The following is a 19,743-nucleotide window of genomic DNA, read 5'->3' on the forward strand; positions in this document are numbered from 1 at the left end:
GCAAAATACATTCCTTCCATACCAATAGCCCCAAAGTCTTAACTCATTACAACATAATCTCAAAAGTCTAAAGTCTGAAGTCTTATCTAAATCAGACATAGATGAGATTTAAGGTATGATGCATCCTGGGGCAAATTCCTCCATCTGTGAGCCTGTGAAATTGAAGAAGGTATCTACTTCCAAAATACAATAGTGGGACAGGCATACAATAGACATTCCCATACCAAAATGGATAACTGGTTTCAAGTAAGTCCAAAACCCAAAATGGAATACAACATTTAATCTTAAAACTGGAGAATAATTTGCTTTGCCTCCCTGTCCCATATCCTGGGTACACTGGGGTATGTGGCTGGGTCCTCAAACCCTCAAACCCTTTGGCAGCCCTAACCCTGGGGCTTTTATGGATTCAGTCTACTCAGCAATTCTCACAGGTTGTAGTCTCATGCCTGTAGCTTTTGGAGGCTGGTGTTATATGCTTGTGGCCCTACAGTTCTGGGGTCTCTGAGGTGACCCCACTCCTACAGCCACACTAGGCATTCCCCTAGTGGGAACTGTCTGTGGTAGCTCTAGCCCTGTGGCTGGTTTTACCCTAGGGCCCTAGGCTATCAACAGCATCCATGCACACACAACTCTTGCATTTTGCAAGCCTGCAGACTTAACTCCATCAAGACTTATAGATTATACCTTCCATTTTGGCAAGTCTAGCTACATCTGGGCCCTCTTGAGCCATGGCTGGGTGGCTGAGGGGTGCTACGCTGGGATTCAGGGAGAAGAGTCCTAAGGTGGCCCTGAGCAGTGAGCCTGTATCAGTTTATTCCCACACTGCTATAAAGACACTACCTGAGACTGGGTAATTTATAATGGAAAGAGGTTTAATTGACTCACAGTTCTGCTTAGCTGGGGAGGCCTCAGGAAACTAACAATTATGGTGGAAGGTGAAGGGAAAGCAAGGCACATCTTACATGGTGGCAGGAGATAGAGAGTGCACAGTGGAAACTGCCACTTTTAAAACCATCAGATTTCATGAAAACTCCCTCATTATCATGAGAATAGCATGGGGAAAACTGCCCCCATGATACAATCACCTCCAACCTGGTCCCTCCCTTTCAACATGTGGTGATGCCTTCCCAATAGTCCCCCAAAGTCTTAACTCATTCCAGCATTAACTCAAAAGTTCAAGTCCAAAGTCTCATCTGAGGAAAGGCAACTCCGTTCCACCTATGAGTCTGTAAAATCAAAAGAAAGTTAGTTACTTCCAAGATACAATGGGGGTACAGGCATTGGGTAAATGTTCCCATTCCAAATGGGAGAAAATGGCCAAAACAAAGAAGCCACAGGCCCCAGGCAAGTCTGAAACCTGGCCAGGCCATCATTAAATCTTAAAGCTCCAAAATCTCCTTTGACTCCATGTCTCACATCCAGAGCATGCTATTACAAGGGGTGTGCTCCCATGGCCTTGGGCAGCTCTGCCCCTGTGGATTTGCAAGGTACAGCCCCTGTGGCTGCCTTCATGGGCTGGTGTTGAGTGCTTTTAGCCTTTTCAGGTGCATGATGCAAGATGTCAGTGGATCTATATTTCTGGGGTCTGGAGGATGGTGGTCCTCTTCTCACAGATCCGCTAGGTAGTGGCCCAGTGGGGACTCTCTATCAGGGCTCTGACCCCACATTTCCCTTCCACACTGCTCTAACAGAGGTTCTCCATGAGGGTTCCACTCCTACAGCAGACTTCTGCCTGGACATCCAGGCATTTCCATACATCCTCTGAAATCTAGGCGGAGGGTCCCAAAGCTCAATTCTTGTGTTCTGTACACCTGCAGGCCCAACACCATGTGAAAGCTGCCAAGGCTTGGGGCTTGCACACTCTGACACATTTTAAAACCATCAGATCTCATGAGAACTCCCTCACTGTCATGAGAACAGCATGGGGGAAACTGCCTCCATGATCCAATCATCCCCCACCAGGTGCATCCCTGGACACATGGCAATTACAATTTGCGATGAGATTTGGGTGGAAACACAGAGCCAAACCATATCAGAGCCCATGGAGGATACCCCAGGCCTGTTACCCCAAACAGTTCTGCCCTGCTAGAGCCCCTGAGCTTGTGATGGGAGAGGCTGTCTCAAAGATCTTCAAAATGCCTTTGGGGTCTTTTGTCCCTTGTCTTGATGGATGGCACCTGGCTTGTTTCTATGCGTATTAATTCCTTTAACAAATGGTTGCTTGGCCACACTTTTTGTATTCTCTTCTAAAGATGCCTTTTCACTCTTTACCTTGCCAGCTTGCAAATTTTCAAAATTTTTCTATTCTGCTTCCCTTTTTAAGTATTAATTCCATCTTTAAGCCATCTCTTTGCTCTCATATCTCCCTATATACAATGAAAAGTAGCCATACAGTAGCCTGAATACCTTGCTGCGTTGATATTTCTTGTACCAGATGCCCTAGTTTATCACTTTTAAGCTCTGCATTCCATAAGCCCTGGACACAGACACAATTTCATCACCTTCTTTGCCACTTTATAAAAAGGATAGCCTTTACTCCAGTTTTCAGTACCTTGTTTCTCATTTCTTTCTGATACCTCATCACAGTTGCCTTTACTGTCCATATTCCTACCAACATTCTGGTCATAACCCCTTAAGTAATCTCTAAAAAGATCAGACTTTCCCTACAGCTCTCCTCTTCTCCTGAGCCCTTGTCAGAATTCTCTTTATGGTCTGTCCACATCAGTACAAGATTTTTCTAGCCTTTTCCTCCAGATTCGTTCAGCCTCTGCTCATTACCCAGTTCCAAAGCCACTCCCACATCTTCAGGTATTTGTTATAGCAACAACCCCACTCTCGGTACCAATTTTTCTGTCTTAGTCCATTTTCTGCTGCTATAACAGAAGACCACAGATGGTGCAATTTGTAAGGAAAAGAGATTTATTTGGCTCTCAGTTCTAGATGCTGAGAAGTCCAAGAGCATCAGCACCTGTTGGCATTAGGTGAGGGTCATCCCATGGCAGAAGGCACACATATGAGACAGAGAGAGGAAATCCAGCTCAACTCATCCTTTTCTCAGAAGCCCACTCTCAGAAAACACTAACCCAGTTCCACAATAACATTACTCCATTCATAAGGGCAAAGCCCTCATGACCTAATTATCTTCCAAAGGTCTTACTTCTCAACACTGTTACATTGGCAATTGAATTTCAATATGAGTTTTGGTGGGGACATTCAAACCATAACAATGAAACATGCCTCATATACAAGTTATGACTTTACCCCTTAACTCCCATTCAAAAAGAAGTATACTGGAATGCATATGTGTAAGAGTGACATAATATAATGGTGACTTCAGCTCTCCTGTAAATTTTTAAATAACTAATTCGTTAACTTCATTATTACCATTATTAGCAACAATCTTCTTAAAATATGTCTTACAACTGAAAGTAGCATGCTCCAGTGTTCCATGTGTTCTGACACTGGCCTGCTAGACTAGAGCATGTGGTTCAGGGCACTCTCACAAATACAGATAAAAGATTTGTGCCCTGATTGTGGATTATCTTAAGGAAGAAATAAACGTCTTGAAAGGTGAAGCTACAAAGTTAAATACATAAAGCGCAGCAGGAAGGTGATTAGTTTTCACATTGGCATCACAACTATCCATTCTTCTTTTTATCTTATGTTGAAAGGCCATATCAAAGTGTGGGCCCAGGGAAGAAAGGATACATTAACAGTAACATTAATATAAACTCTATGTTTAACTCCTTGGTAAGACTGGTGAAATTAAAATTAACTTGATTACGTAGGACAAAGATACACAATTTATAGATTTTTGTGGTAGAATTTCAGGCACCTAGTCAATAAGGTAGAATGAATTGAAATGGTAAAGATCACCTCTTGTTCTAACTACAGAGAAATGCTGGTCAAAATAAGGCAAATAATTTACATGCTTAGCCCAGCTGGAAAGCAAGTAAGGGAAATTCTCAGGCCTTAGTGATAAATAGGGAGCTCAAAGTAAGAGAAAGGAGTATAAATTGAAATTGAAGATCTCCTGGAGATATCAAAACCAAATGTGGATATTCAGGGTACATGGGCTTGAGTTTAGGATCTATGTGAAGTATGGAGTTAGAGCAGATCCCAGCAAAAATCTAGAAAACTGAATGATTTACAAACCCTGAAATCTATGAAATGGGGCCTAGAAAACTCTGCTTATTGATTCAGGAAAGTGTACAGAAAATTCACATTCACTCCAGGGCCATAGCTATGAATCCAAGGAAACATTTAAGAGAAACTGGAACTCTAAACCTGTACCAAGCATGGGTGTGGACTCTAAATTCACATAACTCATATATGACACAAGCCCCCAAGCAAAGAAATTGACAGAAAAACTGGTTCCAAACCAGTGAAACTTGTAGGGCCTTGGTAGAAGCAACCTTGGAACTTCTCTAAGGGAATTCCTCTATAACCCTCAGCATGTGGGACTACCACAGAAAACAATCCCTGCTGTAGATGAAAATACAGCAATGAAATTATAAACCTCATAAGAAAATTAACCACCATGATGTTGCTTCCCTTGACACAATGGAAAAAAAAACTGCATACCAAGAAGTAGAGATAATAGGACAATTTAATAGAGACTTTAAAAGAGGTTGAAAATTGTTTAAAGAGAAAAACAGAATGGAGAAAAATTGTTTGTCAAGAAAAGGGCAGTGATGGTTATCTGTGGCCTTTACAAAAATATCTGTCTCTTGTGTTTATTTAACAAGAACCTGTTTAATGGGAGAGTAAAAACATTCCTCCCAGGAGAAATTGCAGCAATAGTCAGTACCTTATGTGTAGTGCCAAGAAAAGAGCAGTCATTTTTTGATAGACCACCTCAAGGAGGCCCCATTTTACACAGTGCCTTCATTCTGATTTCTTGTTCTATCCAGGCCCACAGCCACTTGGATGCTTCCTACTCACACTGAAGTGGATCTTGCCACTCAGCCACCAAACTCAAATACCAATCTTTCCTGGAAACCCCAGACAGACATACCCAGAAATAATGCATTACCAGCTATCTAGGTATTAATATTTCTTAATCCAGTCAATTTGACACCTAAAAATAACCATTATAGTTTATATTACCTAATTTTTCTTAAAACATGTAAAAATCAGAATAAACAAATTTCTGTGTAATCTTAATAACAGTGGAGAGTATATTATGATACGTCTTCTCACCAACCAAAAATTTACTTATACTTTTGATTAATGTTAGTTTCAAGGGCAAGTTCAAGTTAGCAGTGCTTAATATTCTCAAAAATAAACAAAAAAGATAGTCTTTTCATTTGATTTTTTCGTATTATTTCATAAGAAGGAGGCAGCAAAAATAAACAGTTTTAAAACCTGTGTAACAAACAGCTTTGGGAACATAGGGAGACCCTGTGTGGTCCCAGCTACTTGGGAGGCTGAGGTGGGAGGATCACTTGAGCCAGGGAGGTTAAGGCTGCAGTGAGCTGTGGTTGTGCCACTGCACTCCAGCCTGGGTGACAGAGTCAGACCCCTTCTCAAAAACAAACAAACAGAAAACTGAGTAACTTTGTATTCCCACTTTTGATTATACTTTGAATTTAAGTTTTTTTCTAGAAGCCCTCATAACTATTTAAAATTTTTCCCAGGTACAATGATAAGATGACTAGAAAAAGAGTTGAAAATTGGGTCACCTCTGAGTTTTCCTTTGGATGTTAAATGGTCGCTTCCTGTCTCCCACTGATAATCAGGAGTCATTTGCTCATTTCTTTTTCTCTCATTCTCAGGTAAGCCTCTGAACATCCCCTGCAAAGCATTCTTCGGATTCAGTGGAGAGTCTGGGCCAATGATCTACTGGATGAAAGGAGAAAAGTTTATTGAAGAACTGGCAGGTCACATTAGAGAAGGTGAAATAAGGTAGAGAGCTTGAATTGCTTATCTTTCTTTGCTGTCTTACGGGATTCTGCTCAGGATTTTAATTGCAACTCCAAATCATTCCATTCTCTAAAAGCTGATCTTATGGAGAGACCAAGGATGACTGCCTTAAGAAATGCCAATGTGTAAGCTTCTAACATAAGTAGGTCTTTCTCCCATTTAAAGATTATGTCACCAGGGTATAATGACCCTCCAAAAGCTGCCTAAGCAAATTCCTTTGAGTTTCTAAAGCTAAAACCACTGGTACTCCAACAGTCACAGCAAAGGTCCAGTCTTTGAAGGTGACTCCTCAGACCACTGGGCAAATTGTTTATTTTCTACCTGGGAACAGACAACCTTCATATGTCATAAGTGTAAAACTGCAGTGGCAATGGTAAGCTGGTCTTCAGCCAAAATAACTGTTAACTCTTGTTGAATACTGTTTATTTTTCCCAACATCTAATACTTATCCTGAAAAGACTGATCCTTCAATTTAGTACATGTTTAGACCTCTTTTCACTCTCCTGTTACACAAATAATTCTCTGGTTTATAGATACCAATTCTATTGGTTTTCTAATTCTATTTAGTACTTTCTCATTTGTACAAAAAAGATATAAAAATATAGGTAACCTTTCTCGCCTCACTCAGTTTGTGAGGTTTCTCTTTGGTTTCAGAGATGATGATGTGTAGTGTATGTTCCTGATTCTGATAGGAATTGGGATTCTTCCCTCTTCACTCCCATTAAGAATCATGCAGTGAAAATTAATCTAAAATTTCAGTATAACTAATGTTAAAGTTTATTCCTTCAGTTTTCTTATTGAATATAGAGCAGCATAAATGAGACAAGTATGCTTTGTATTATTTACTATGTTTAAATGTTATTTATAATTACTCTCATGACAGTTTCTCTCCATGTGTCTACCCAATAACTCTTTTCTAGGGGTTCATAACTTTGAAGGTCTGTGAACCCCTTAAGAGTCTATGCAAAATATTTACTATAGGAGCATATTTCTAGGCAAAATACACATGAAAAGGTGTTTGACATGTTTAGTAATCAAGGAAATGCAAACCAAAACCACATGATACCACTTTATACTCACTAGGATGCACTAGGATGGCTATAATTTAAAAAGTCAGATTATAGGCTGAGCACAGTTATTCAGGCCTATAATCCCAGCACTTTGGGAGGCCAAGGTGGGTGGATTGCTTGAGCTCAGGAGTTTGAGACTAGCCTGAGCAATATGATAAAACCCTGTCTCTCCCCGCTTCCCTGCCAAGAAAAAATACATATATATGTACAAATCTTAGCCAGGCATCGTGCTATGTGCCTGTAGTCCCAGCTACTTGCTACTTGGGAGGCTGAGGTGGGCACATCACTTGAGCCCAGGATGTTGAGGTGGCAGTGAGTCATGATTGTTCTACTACACTCCAGCCTGGGTGACAGAGCAAGACCTTGTCTCAGAAAAAAAAGTCAGATTATAACAAATGTTGGTAAGGATATGAAGAAATGGGAAACCTCATATACTGCTGGTAGGAATAGCCCTCCTAGGGATATAAACAAAGTAAATCAAAACATATATCTACAAAAAACTGGTCCATGAATGTTCATAGCAGCATTGCTCATAATAGACAAAAATGAAAACAACCTAAATGTCTATCAACTAAGGAATGAATAAATAAAATGTGGTACATTCATACAGTGAATATTATTTAACCATAAAAAACGAAATATTGGCATATACTACAACCTGAGTGAACCTTGAAAATGTTCTCAGTGTAAGAAGCCAGAAACAAAAAAAACACATACTATATGATTCAATTTATATAAGATGTCCACAATAAGCAACTTTATAGAAACAGAAAATAGATTACTGGGTGCTTAGCGCCAGTGGGGAGGAATGGAATATAGATGTGATAGCTAAAGTGTATGGGTGTGTTTTTGTGTGTGTGATAGAACACAACATAATATAAAATTCATCATTTTAAAATTCACAATTTAATGGCATTCAGTACATTCAGAATTCATACAACCACCACCACTTTATAGTACCAGAACATTTTCATCACTCTAAAAGGAAACGTTGTACCCATCAAGCAGTCTGGGGCTTCTTTATAAGATAATGAAAATATTATAAAATTGACCATAGTGATAGTTTCACATCTGTGAATATTCTAGAAAACAAAGAATTGTATACTTTTAATGGATAGATTATGTGGCATATACATTTTATCTCAATAAAGCTGTTTTTCTTAAAAAAAAAAAAACCCTTGAAATTAATTGCCTGACACAGAACAGATTTTCAGAAATAAATAATGGATATATTACAAATGATTCTAAAGTATTAATTGCCATTTGTACTTTGAAGTTTGTAATTAGTAACACTTTATTAGGCAATTTTAATTTAATATTTATTTGAAATCAATACAACTGAATTCATTTTAAATTGTTATAGAAGATACATATTTAGGATTACTGTCAACGTATCTGTGTATAAAAGACCTTAAGGGTCACTTTTCATTCTACAGAACAAGAAACTGGTCCCAAAATGGATATGTGATAGGTACACTAGTATATAGTTAGTAGCAGAAGTTCCATCACCAAAAAGCTCAGAGATATGTTTTGTGATCAAAGGTACTAATTATATGAGCCTAAGGTAATAATCTCCCTTTTTGTATGTGTGACTGCATGTAACTTTTAAAATAAACAGCTTTATCAGAGTATAATTGACATATAATAAATCACACAATTTAAAGTATGCAATTTGTAAGGGCGGATTGATATATGTGTACACCTGTGAAACCATCACCCACAATGAAGATAACATATTAATCACCCCCATGTTTCCTGGTGCCCCTTTGAAATCCCTCCCTCCCGCCCTTCTCCAACAACAGGGATCTTCTATCACTATAAATCAGTCTGCCTTGTCTAGAATTTTATATAAGCAGAATCATACAATAGGCACTTGTTTTGCTCTGGATTATTTCATGTAGCACAATTATTTTGAGATTTCTCCCATCTTGTTATATGTGTCAATAGTTCATACCATTTTTATTGCCAAATAGTATTCCATTACGTGATTATACAAAAATTACTCTTCTATTCACCTGTTGATGGACGACATTTGGGTTGTTTCCAGTTAGGACTATTATGAAGAAATCTGCTAGGAACATTCATATACATATCTTTGTATGCACATATATTTTCTTTTCTCTTGCCTGAATAGCTAGACATGGTGTGCTTGAATTATATAGTAGACATAAATTTAATTTTTAGTTTATTCTTTAAATAAAATTTAAATCATTTTTAAACAAACTTTTTTAGAATAATTTTTGATTTATAGGAAAATCATGAGGATAGTATATAGAGTTCCTATATACCCCATACCCCGTTTCCCCAATTATCGACATCTTAGGTTCTTATGGTACCTTTGTACCATAAGAATACTGCTCATGTCTAGGTATTCAGGCAAGAGAAAAGGAAATATATGTGCATACAAAGACATGTATATGAATGGTCATAGCAGCTTTCTTCATAATCGTCCAAACTGGAAACAATCCAATGTCCATCAACAGGTGAATAGATGAGCAAATTGTTGTATAGTCATATAATGGAATATACTTGGCAATAAAAAAGGAATGGGCCAGGAGCGGTGGCTCATGACTGTAATCCTAGCACTTTGGGAGGCCGAGGTGGGTGGATCACCTGAGGTCAGGAGTTCAAGGCCAGCCTGGCCAACATGGTGAAACCCCGTCTCTACTGAAAATACAAAAATTAGCTGGGCATGGTGGCAGGCACCTGTAATCCCAGCTACTCGGGAGGCTAAGACGGGAGAATTGCTTGAACCCGGGAGGCAGGGGTTGCAGTAAGCTGAGATCATGCTATTGCACTATAGCCCGGGTGACAAGAGTGAAACTCCATCTCAAAAAAAAAAATCAAAATTAATACATTGTTATTAACTAAAGACATTTCTTTACACACCTTTCTTTAGTTTTTGCGTACTATCCCTTTTGTTCTGCAGGATTATTTAACTTTTTAAGAATCTGCCTAACTGTATTCCAAACTGGTTATAATTTTACAAAAGAAAAGTGAGGCACTGCTACTCTCTCCAGCAGCAAATGATTAGAGTTGGTGGGAGACAAAACATATATACATGAGTTGGATAAATCCTGAACAAGCCACCATATTAGGGGCCAAATGAGTCAACCAGCTAGGAAATGCTATAGGAAGACAACCTTTCAGGACTTGCAAAATGACATTGTTTAACTGATTTTGTTACATCCTGTTTCTCCACCAAATCCCCCAGTAAAATAACTATATTAGCAGTGACGGAAAGTTCCAGGAAATTTATTTTGAAAATTTCACAAGACCCTACTAGCTAACTAAAGTCACCTTCATAGAAGTGCCAACAAAAAGGCAGAAATTCCCAGCCTGGGACTACAGGCACATACCACCATGCCTGGCTAAGATACAGTCACTCATTTTGTAATATAGTCAGGAGTTGCCTAATGATGGGGATACGTTCTATGTAATACATTATTAGGTGATTTCATTATTGTGCAAACATCATCGAGTGTACATATACAAACCTAGATTATAGCCTACTACACACCTAATCTATATGGTATAGCCTATTGCTCCTAGGCTACAAACCTGTACAGCATATTATTGTACTGAATACTGTAGGCAACTGTAACACCATGGTAATATTTGTGTATGTAAATATATCTAAACAAAGGAAAGGTACAGTAAAATACAGTGTTATAATCTTATGGGGCTACCTTTGTATATGCAATATATCATTGACTAAAATGTCATCATTCCACTTCATATGTCTTGTGTGATCCATGATCTATTTGGAAGCTTGTGTGGTTTCTATAATTCTTTCAGTCTAGAGCCATTTATGCTAATACAGGAACTAATTAACCATGTCTTCTAGCCTCCAAAGTCCTTGAAACAAAGCATACAAGATTTTATACAGCACAGCAAATTGGAACAAATCCAGCATTTTAATAGAAAAAAATTGCTAATCATACTATTTAGGTGAACCAAGAGAAGATTCACATTTTTTCATAACCCATATATTTTCTCCATAAGGAAGAGTTCTGACGGCAGAATACTGAGAATTTTTAATTAGGGGATTCCTCTCAAAGGCATTTCTAGAAACAAAATTTATTTCTGGATGCATGGCCCTTATTCAGTGCTCTCTCTGTCTGTACAGGACATTGTTAAAAAATACCTTAGACTGGGGTAATTTATAAACAACAGAAATGTATTAGTCAAAGTTCTGGAGGCTGGGAAGTCAAGATCAAGATGCCTGTAGATCCAGTGTCTGGAAAGGGCCTGTGATGGCTGGGGTAGCCCTGAAAATCTCTAGAATTCCTTCTTCTATCGTCCTAATGAATACCCTCTGGCTTCCTTATATCTATACTAATCTTATCAAACGTTTTCTTGGCCACACTCTTGGTGTTCCCTATTTAACACACTCTTTCATTCTTTGCAACATGGCTGGGCTGAGAATGTCCCAAATCTTTAAATTCTGCTTCCCTTTTGATTATAAATTTTATCTTTAATTCATTTTCTTCTCTCATTTTACCATAGGCAATCCAGAGAAGCCATGCCACACCCTCAGTACTTTGCTTAGCAATTTCTTTCACTAAATATCCTATTGCACCATTCACACGTTCTACCTTCCACAAAGCACTAGGACATGAAGAAAATTCAGCCAAGTTCTTTGCCACTTTATAACGAGGATGGCCTTCACTTCAGTTTTCAATAACGTGTTTCTCATGTAAGTCTGAGCCCACATAAAAATGGCCTTTACTGTCCATATTTCTATCAATATTCTGATCATGACCACTTAAGTAATCGCTGAGAAGATTGAAGCTTCCTCTACAGTTCTCCTCTTCTATTGAACCCTCACCAGAATTGCTCCTTACAGTTAGTTCATGTTGATATAGGCTTTTTCTAGCCTGCTCCTCCAAATTATTCCAGCCTCTGTTCATTACAAAGTTCCAAAGCCATTCCACATTTTTTGGTATTTTTTTTAACCAGAGCACCCCACTGTCAGCACCAATTTTTGTCTTAGTCCATTTGGGATTCTATAACAAGATACCTTAAATGGGTAATTTAAAAACAACAAAAATTTATAGCCCACAGTTCTCAAGGCTGGGAAGTCCAAGATCAATGTGCTGGCAGATTAAGTGTCTGGTGAGGGCCTGTTCCTCGTGGATGGAACCTTCTGTGTGTCCTCACATGGCAACAAGGGCAAGGGAACTCATTCATGCTTCTTTTATAAGGGCACTAATCCCATTCATGAGTGGGGAGCCTTCATGATTTAATCACTTCTCAAAGGCCCCACCTCTTAATACTATCACGATGGATATTAGGTGACAGCATATGATTTTTGGGAGACCACAAACATTTAGACCATAGCAAGGGCATTGCTTTGGGCCCATTTAAAAATTGAATCATAGCTCTTGTGTTGTGCACACATTTCAAAATTGCATTGTGTAATATAACCAAGCAGTGAGGATGTAAATAAATAGCTCTCAGGCAGTTGACTTGTGGAGAAGCTTCCCCAGAAGCACTGGGTCTGGCAGGAGAACTAGCCCCTCTGCCTAGGTTCTCAATTTCCTGTGCAGCAGCTTGATCCTAGAAATGTGTGTTACAACTTTTTATTTCTTAGTTTGCCACAGAGGAATAGAGGACTTAAAACAATACCTAGTAAAAAAAAGCTTAGATATTTACTGAGAGCTTGATGAGATAATGTCACTTGGACTTCAGTAAGTATAACATCTGTACTCAGCATTTCCCCTGCTGCTTGAATAGCATTTTAGATCAAATCCTGTCTAACATTTTGGAGTTCTCATTTGTTTGCTCTCTGGGTCAGTTTCACCACTGTGGTCCCGAGCCTCTCCTGATTTTCAGCCCATTGCCAAAGCACTTAGACCCCACTTTGGGCATACAGATTCCCCTTTATCTCCCTTTAAGCAGAGATTGGCACAGTTCTCCCATGCCTCTGATGTTGCTAAGAGACTAAGCCACAAGGAAATCTGAACCCAAATGTGGTAACCATTCACAACTGCTAATCTATCCCACACAACTGCATCACAACCCTTTCACTAACTCCAGAAGATATAATTTATAGAGATGGTAAAATAATTTTATGTGTGCAGTAACATAAGATGTAATTGTACAAGTTTGGTTATTTATTTCTACAATTTTAAAATCATTCCAACAATCTGCTCTCTGCCAAGCTCTACCATGTTTATTCAGAGAAGTCAAATAATTATTTCGAGGAAACCTAGTAGGAATCATAAGGGGAAGACTTCTTACTTTCTGTCCTTCTGTTAAAGCTTAATGGGAACTGCTGCAAAGGAGGATCAGAGAGTACCCGCACAATGTCCTTTGGGGATAATGATTCTAGGAAGGCCACCTCAGTCCTGTACCACTACAGAACTTCCTTCTAATCAATCTTACAAGAGGCTTGAGAATTTTGTTTTAAGGAATTTGCTAGTGAGGTATGTATTCTACATAGCTAATTTAAAAAGTCAGAAAAATTGAACCAGTCCTATTAAATAAGAAATAATAGTATTATAGATTGCCTACAGGGTTACGCATTGCATCTGATTGTCAAAAAAGACTCCACGAATTTCAAGACAATTGCTTTGTCCCAACAGAGAGTCATTTTCAATTATAAATCTCACTTTACAAATCGCCCTATCAATACCTAATGTTTTCTTCCTCAGGCAATACTATAAAACAGTTTACCAAATCTTTTCTAAGTCTTGACCTGAAAAACATATTCAATTTATCTTAAGGTTTTCAGAAAAGCTTACTAAAATGCAAATAATTTTATTTACCTTCAGTTCCTGAAAGGCTGTGAGCTGAATATGGTCTTTGCTGGTTTGTTTTAGTTTTGGTTTCTTCACTGCTGCTTTTTACCACTTTCTGGTCTTCGGTTTCATTCCTTTACCTTAACATCCTCTCCTTGCATGACTGAAATGCTCTAATAAAGAGGGAAGGTGATATAAGCATGAAAATTTTTATTCTTAAAATAAGGTGAGTCTATCTTAAAGACCAAAACTAACCTAATAATGACCCACTCTTTTTAAAAAGCAATATGGAGCTGTGAATATGTTGTTTGTCCCTAAAATACAGAGGAAATAATTGGACTCCCAGGCAGTCCTAGGGAAAATGATGAGATGTATTTTGGCAACTTCTCACACAATTTTTAATGTCTTGAAGGACCCCACATGTCCTTGGTTTTCCCAAAGTTGAGCTTCAAAAAAGTATTTTCCTTTCTTCTACTCTCAGCTCATCCTACTGGAAGAAGAAATACAGATCAATCACTTTGCTTTAATTTAAATAGGTTTCAAATCTCATCACACCTGTATGTGAATGTACACATTATAAACAGCATAGTTTTACCTAGGGCCGTCCTTAATTTCTAGTTAACTAAAGGTACATTTTTGAAGGAGTGGTGAATACTATTGATGATTCCAGGGTTGGTCTTATCCTTGATCTATGCATAAAATACTAAAAGCCTACCTAAAACATGTTTGTTGTTTCTCTTCATTTATTGAGCAGATTTTAGATGCTCAGTCTCAACTATGTTGTGTTGGGTTGTAAGCTACTCTAGACAAAAACCTATAATTAGTAAATAATAATAATAATAATTCCAGTTCATCCTTTTATAGTACACTGCATATTGCAAAAGCATTTCACATCTTAAAACATATTGGATACTCATAATAACCATCTGAGATAAATACTATTAGCTTTATTTTGCAGATAAAGAAACTGAAGTTTAGAGACTGAGGAAGAGCTGCTGCCCTTTAGTGATTGAGGGTTCCTATAGGGCTAGACTGAATTCATCAAAGCTAGCAAGAATCCTCAATTGTCCAGAATGTTTTGTTGTACTCCAGATTTAGACTATAAAAAGTCAAAATCTGTCGGGGACTGAAAGAGTGAAAATCAGTGTGGACTGAGAATAAGCAGCCCTGCTATTAATCAGGCTGGGAGGACAGACAGATAAAGCCAGCTGCAAAGTTAGCAGAAAACACTGTTTCTCCCAAGGTCATGCAGCAGTTGTAAAATGCCATAATGACCCCCTCCTCCTTTGAGTGACTACTGCTTTCTTACCAGTGATGCCCCAAACCTGCTTTGCTGCTTACATTAACTACCAGGGATACCCAACTGCTAAGCTATCCTTGCCCCATAAGAGAACCCAGTCCCTAGTTAACCCCCATTTTTTCCAATCCTGCCTCAGAAACTCCAACCAATCCAGGATTTACCCCTGCTTCCCTAAAACCTCATCAGAATCTTTCACTGTAAATGTAAACATTACAAAACTTTCTTCCTTCCTTCAATCAAGGATTAATCCATAGTTCCTCTAGAATGCCCCTCCCTCAATGCATTGAGCCAATAAATCTGATTTTGTCAGACTCTGGGCATGATGCTGGACTTGGAGTAATAATGCTTTAATGGGGAGGGGGGAGCAAATAACACCAAGAAAGAGATCTTGTTTAATTGAACATTTTAATTTTTTTAAACATACCTCCCATCCTTAATTTTATCAATCATCATTCCTGGACAATGATTACTCATACTCAGGATAATGACCCAGAAACTCTGCAAGACACCTAGCCATCAAAGGAGGACTCAGAATACTTCAAGGGACCATTTACGATGAATGAAAATTGGTCTTAGAAATTTTATAATTATTTACCTCAATTAAGAAACCAACAGGACTTTCTATTTAAATTTCAGGTGAACAGAAAATTCAGTTAGCCAGAATTTCCATCCCTGAGCAATTCCACTAACCAAGATTTCACTAAAATTTCATTGCATTTGTGTTCTTATCTGAATGTTATGTTATCATTCCCTTCAGCATTGCTTATTTTAGTTTATGATCTTTAGGACAGCAGGGAGCACCTACATGTAAATATTAGTACAATGTCTGGTAGAGCAGATTGCTGTTTACAAATAAGTACTTTTTGATAATGAGGACAGCAGAAGTGCTAGTAGTGATATTGATGATATGGGCAGATATTGAAGAGTATAAACTCTCTGGTGGCAGTTCAACATCTTTATAAAAAATTCAAAGTAGCATGTCCCCTGGAAGAAACTGGAAAGTAATTTGGAATCTGCCTGCTAATAAAGTATTTACTTGTTTACTTTCTCCTTTTATTGCCTTAGTTAAATTTATTAGAGGAAGTCAATAATGAGAAATAATGCACAGTAGTTTGAGACGGTATTTGTTTATTAATACTTCCCAGCTTACCACATTGCCAGGCATATATAACTTTTAAAACATCTGTTTAATGGCATTGAATTGTACTAAAATGTGTTAATATAGTGTCTTGCTAGCATTACACACACACTGTAATTTTTAGAGCAGATTTAAGTTCACAACAAAATTGAGTGGAAAGTACAGAGTTCCCACATTACCCACAAGACTCCCCCCACTATCAATATCCAGCACCACAGTGGTGCATTTGTTGTAATCCATGAACCTATATTGACACATCCTGATCACCCAACGTCTATAGTTTACATTTAGATTTCACTCCTAATGTTGTACCATCTATGGGTTTCAACAGATGTATGATGACATGTATCCACCATTACAGTATCATACAGATGAGTTTCACTGCCCTAAAAATCTTCTGTGTTCCACTTTATTTATCTCTCCCTCTCCCAGAACTCCTGGCAACTCCTTATCTTTTTACTGTCTCCGAAATGTTGCCTTCTCCGAAATTTCAATAGTTGAAACCACACAGTACATAGCCTTTTCAGAGTGGCTTCTTTCACTTAGTAATATGCATTTAAGGTTCCTACATGTCTTTTCATGACAAAATACTTTAAAAAATGCATTCATTTATTCAATGTGCCTTTACTGAGTTTTCTTAATGCTACCAGCACCATGCTAGTTGCTAGTGGTACAAAAATTAAAGCTACAGCACACCATAAACAAGTAGTTCCAGTAAAACACCTTTTGAAGAGGCAAAGAAGATTTATTTATTTAATAAGCTTTATTTTTCACAAATAGCTTTAGGGTTACAAAGAAGTTAACAGATAAGAGGATACATTTTTTTTTGAAGAGTTGAGCAGAAAGTACAGAGAACTCTCATATAGCCCCTTTGCCTCTCCCAGTTTCCCATTTTGTTAATGTCTTGACTTAGTGTGGCACATTTATTACAATTAATGAAACACTATACATTATTGTTAAAGTCCATGGTTGACAGTAGAGTTCATTCTTTGTGTTATACAGTTCTATGGTTTTTGACAAATGTAAAATATCATGGATCCACCATTACTGTATCATACAGAATAGTTTCACTGTCCTAAATATCCCAGAGCTTTGTCTATTCATCTCTCCCTTTCTCCTCAAAAACTCTTGGTAACCAATGATCTTTTTTTAGTCTTTATAGTCTTTATAGTTTTGCCTTTTCCAAAATGTCATACGTTTGGAATCCTACAGTATGTAGCCTTTTCAGACTGACTTCTTTCACTTAGTATATGCATTTAAGGTTTTTCCATGTAGTTCTGTGGCTTGATGGTTAATTTCTTTTTATCAATGAATAATATTTTATTGTCTGGATGTACCACAATTGTTTACCCATTTACCTATTGATTGACATATTGGTTATTTCCAAGTTTTGGCAATTATGAATGAAGCTGCTATAAACACTTGTGCAAGTTTTCGTGTAGCTATAAAAAGTATGATTAATGCATCATACTGTAAGACAATGTTTAGCTTTTTAAGTAACTGCCAAAATATCTTTCAAAGTGGCTGTACCATTTTGCATTCCCACCAGCAATGGATGATAATTTCTATTGCTTCACATCCTTGCCAAAATTTGATGTTGTCAGTAATACTGGGTTTCAGTCATTCTAATAGGTGTGTAGTGTATGTCATTGTCTAAATTTAAAATTCCCTAATGACATATGACATTGAGCATATATTCAGATGCTTATTTGTTATCTGTGTATCTTCTTTGATTAGGTGTCTGTTCAGAACTTTTGCCCATTTTTAAATTAGGTTGTTAGTTTTTTTATGGTTGAGTTTTAAGAGGTTTTTGTGAATTCCATGTAGAAGTTTCTTAATCTGTATATGTTTTGCATATATTTTCTCCCATTTTATGGCTTAGCTATTTATTCTTTCAACTGTTTTTCACAAAACAGATGTTTATGATTTTAATAAAGTCCAACTTATCAATTGTTTTTTTCATGGACTACATTTTTGTCGTTGTGTCTAAAATTTTATCAGCAAACACACAAATGAGAAAGAGAAAGAACACAAATATTACCAGTACAGAAAACAGAAAACCACCAAACCACAATATAAAAAAGCAAGAGACGAAGGAAGGAAGGAAAGAAGGAAGGAAGGAAGGAAGGAAGGAAGGAAGGAAGGAAGGAAGGAGGGAGGGAGGGAGGGAAGGAAGGAAGGAAGGAAGGAAATAATACAAAACAACCAGAAAGTAATTACAAGATGACAGGAATAAGTCCTTACATATTAATAATAACCTTGAATGTAAACAAATTAAATATCCCACTTAAAAGATATAGATTGGCTGAATGAATTTTAAAAGTAACCTAAATATATTCTGCCTAAAAGAAACACATTTCACCTGTAGAGACACATATAGACTAAAAGTAAAGGGATGGAAAAAATATTCCATGGAAAAGGAAATGAACAGTAAGCAAAAGTGGCTACATGTATATCAGATAAAACAGACTTTAAGTCAAAAACAGTAAAAAGAGACAAAGAAGGTCATTATATAATGATAAAGTGATCAATTTGGTAAGGGATATAGCAATGGCAAATATTTGTGCACCTAACACAGGAGCACCCAGATATATAAAGCAAATATTTTTAGATCTAAAAGGAGAGATAGACATCAATAAAATAATATCTGGGGACTTCAGCACTCCACTCTCAAAAATAAATAAATTATCTAGACAGAAAACAACAAAGAAACATTAGATTTAAACTGCACCTTAGACCTAGTGGATCTAATAGACAATTGCAGAATGTTTCATCCAGCAGCTGCAGAATATACATTCTTCTCATCAGCACATCAACATTCTCAAGAATAGACCATATGTTAGGACACAAAACAAGTCTCAACAAATTTTTTAAAATTGAAATCATATCAAGTATCTTCTCAGACCACAATGGACTAAAACTAGAAATCAATAACAAGAGGAGCTTTGAAATCTGTAGGAATACATGGAAATTAATCAACATGTCCCTGCACAACGACTGAGTCAATGAAGAAATTAAGAAATAAATTTAAAAAGTCGAGAAACAAATGAAAATGGAAACAAAACATACCAAAACCTGTGGGATACAGCAAAAGCATTACTTGTTTATAGGTATAAATTTGTAGTAAATACAGTTAAAAGTTTATGCTTACATCAAAAAGTAGAAAGATTTGAAACAAACCACCTAACAATGCACCTCAAGGAACTGGAAAAGCAAGAACAAGCCAAACCCCAAATTAGTAGAATGAAAGAGTAGAGATCAGAGTAGAACTAAACAAAATAGACACTCAAAAACTACAAAGGATCAACAAAATGAAAAGTTATTTTGAAAAAATAAACAAATTTGATAAACCACTAGCTAGACTAACCAAGAATAAAAGAAAGAATACCCAAATAAACAAAATTAGAAATGAAAAAGGACACATTACAACTGATACCACAGAAATACAAAAGATTATCAGAAACTACTATGAACAACTATGTACTAATGAACCCGAAAACCTAGGGGAAATGGATAAACTCATGGATAAATATAACCTACCACGATTGAATAAAAAAGAAAGTG

The 19,743-nt window shown here is 37.3% G+C and overlaps 1 protein-coding gene and 1 long non-coding RNA gene across 6 annotated transcripts in view; one reads left to right on the forward strand and one right to left on the reverse strand.

Annotated features, from left to right (window-relative positions):
* Positions 1-19,743, forward strand: part of IL1RAPL2 (interleukin 1 receptor accessory protein like 2) — a 1,201,631-nt gene that overhangs the window by 1,145,391 nt on the left and 36,497 nt on the right. For both annotated transcript variants that reach the window (NM_017416.2, XM_011530905.3), the window contains one exon: positions 5,778-5,907. In NM_017416.2, coding sequence (NP_059112.1) covers positions 5,778-5,907 — 130 coding nt within the window. The remainder of the gene's footprint in view (positions 1-5,777; positions 5,908-19,743) is intronic.
* The window catches only part of LOC105373303 (uncharacterized), a 135,721-nt gene that overhangs the window by 49,958 nt on the left and 66,020 nt on the right, over positions 1-19,743 (reverse strand). For 2 of the 4 annotated variants that reach the window (XR_938493.3, XR_007068300.1), the window contains 2 exons: positions 13,769-13,914; positions 5,685-5,844 (listed from right to left, as the gene is read on the reverse strand). This is a non-coding gene — a long non-coding RNA (uncharacterized LOC105373303). Of the gene's footprint in view, positions 1-4,591; positions 5,845-13,768; positions 13,915-13,996; positions 14,245-19,743 lie in introns of those variants that run through there. The other 2 variants (XR_001755938.2, XR_007068299.1) reach the window with 2 other exon arrangements.

Source organism: Homo sapiens, chromosome X (assembly GCF_000001405.40).
Source record: "Homo sapiens chromosome X, GRCh38.p14 Primary Assembly".
Classification (NCBI taxonomy): domain Eukaryota; kingdom Metazoa; phylum Chordata; class Mammalia; order Primates; family Hominidae; genus Homo; species Homo sapiens.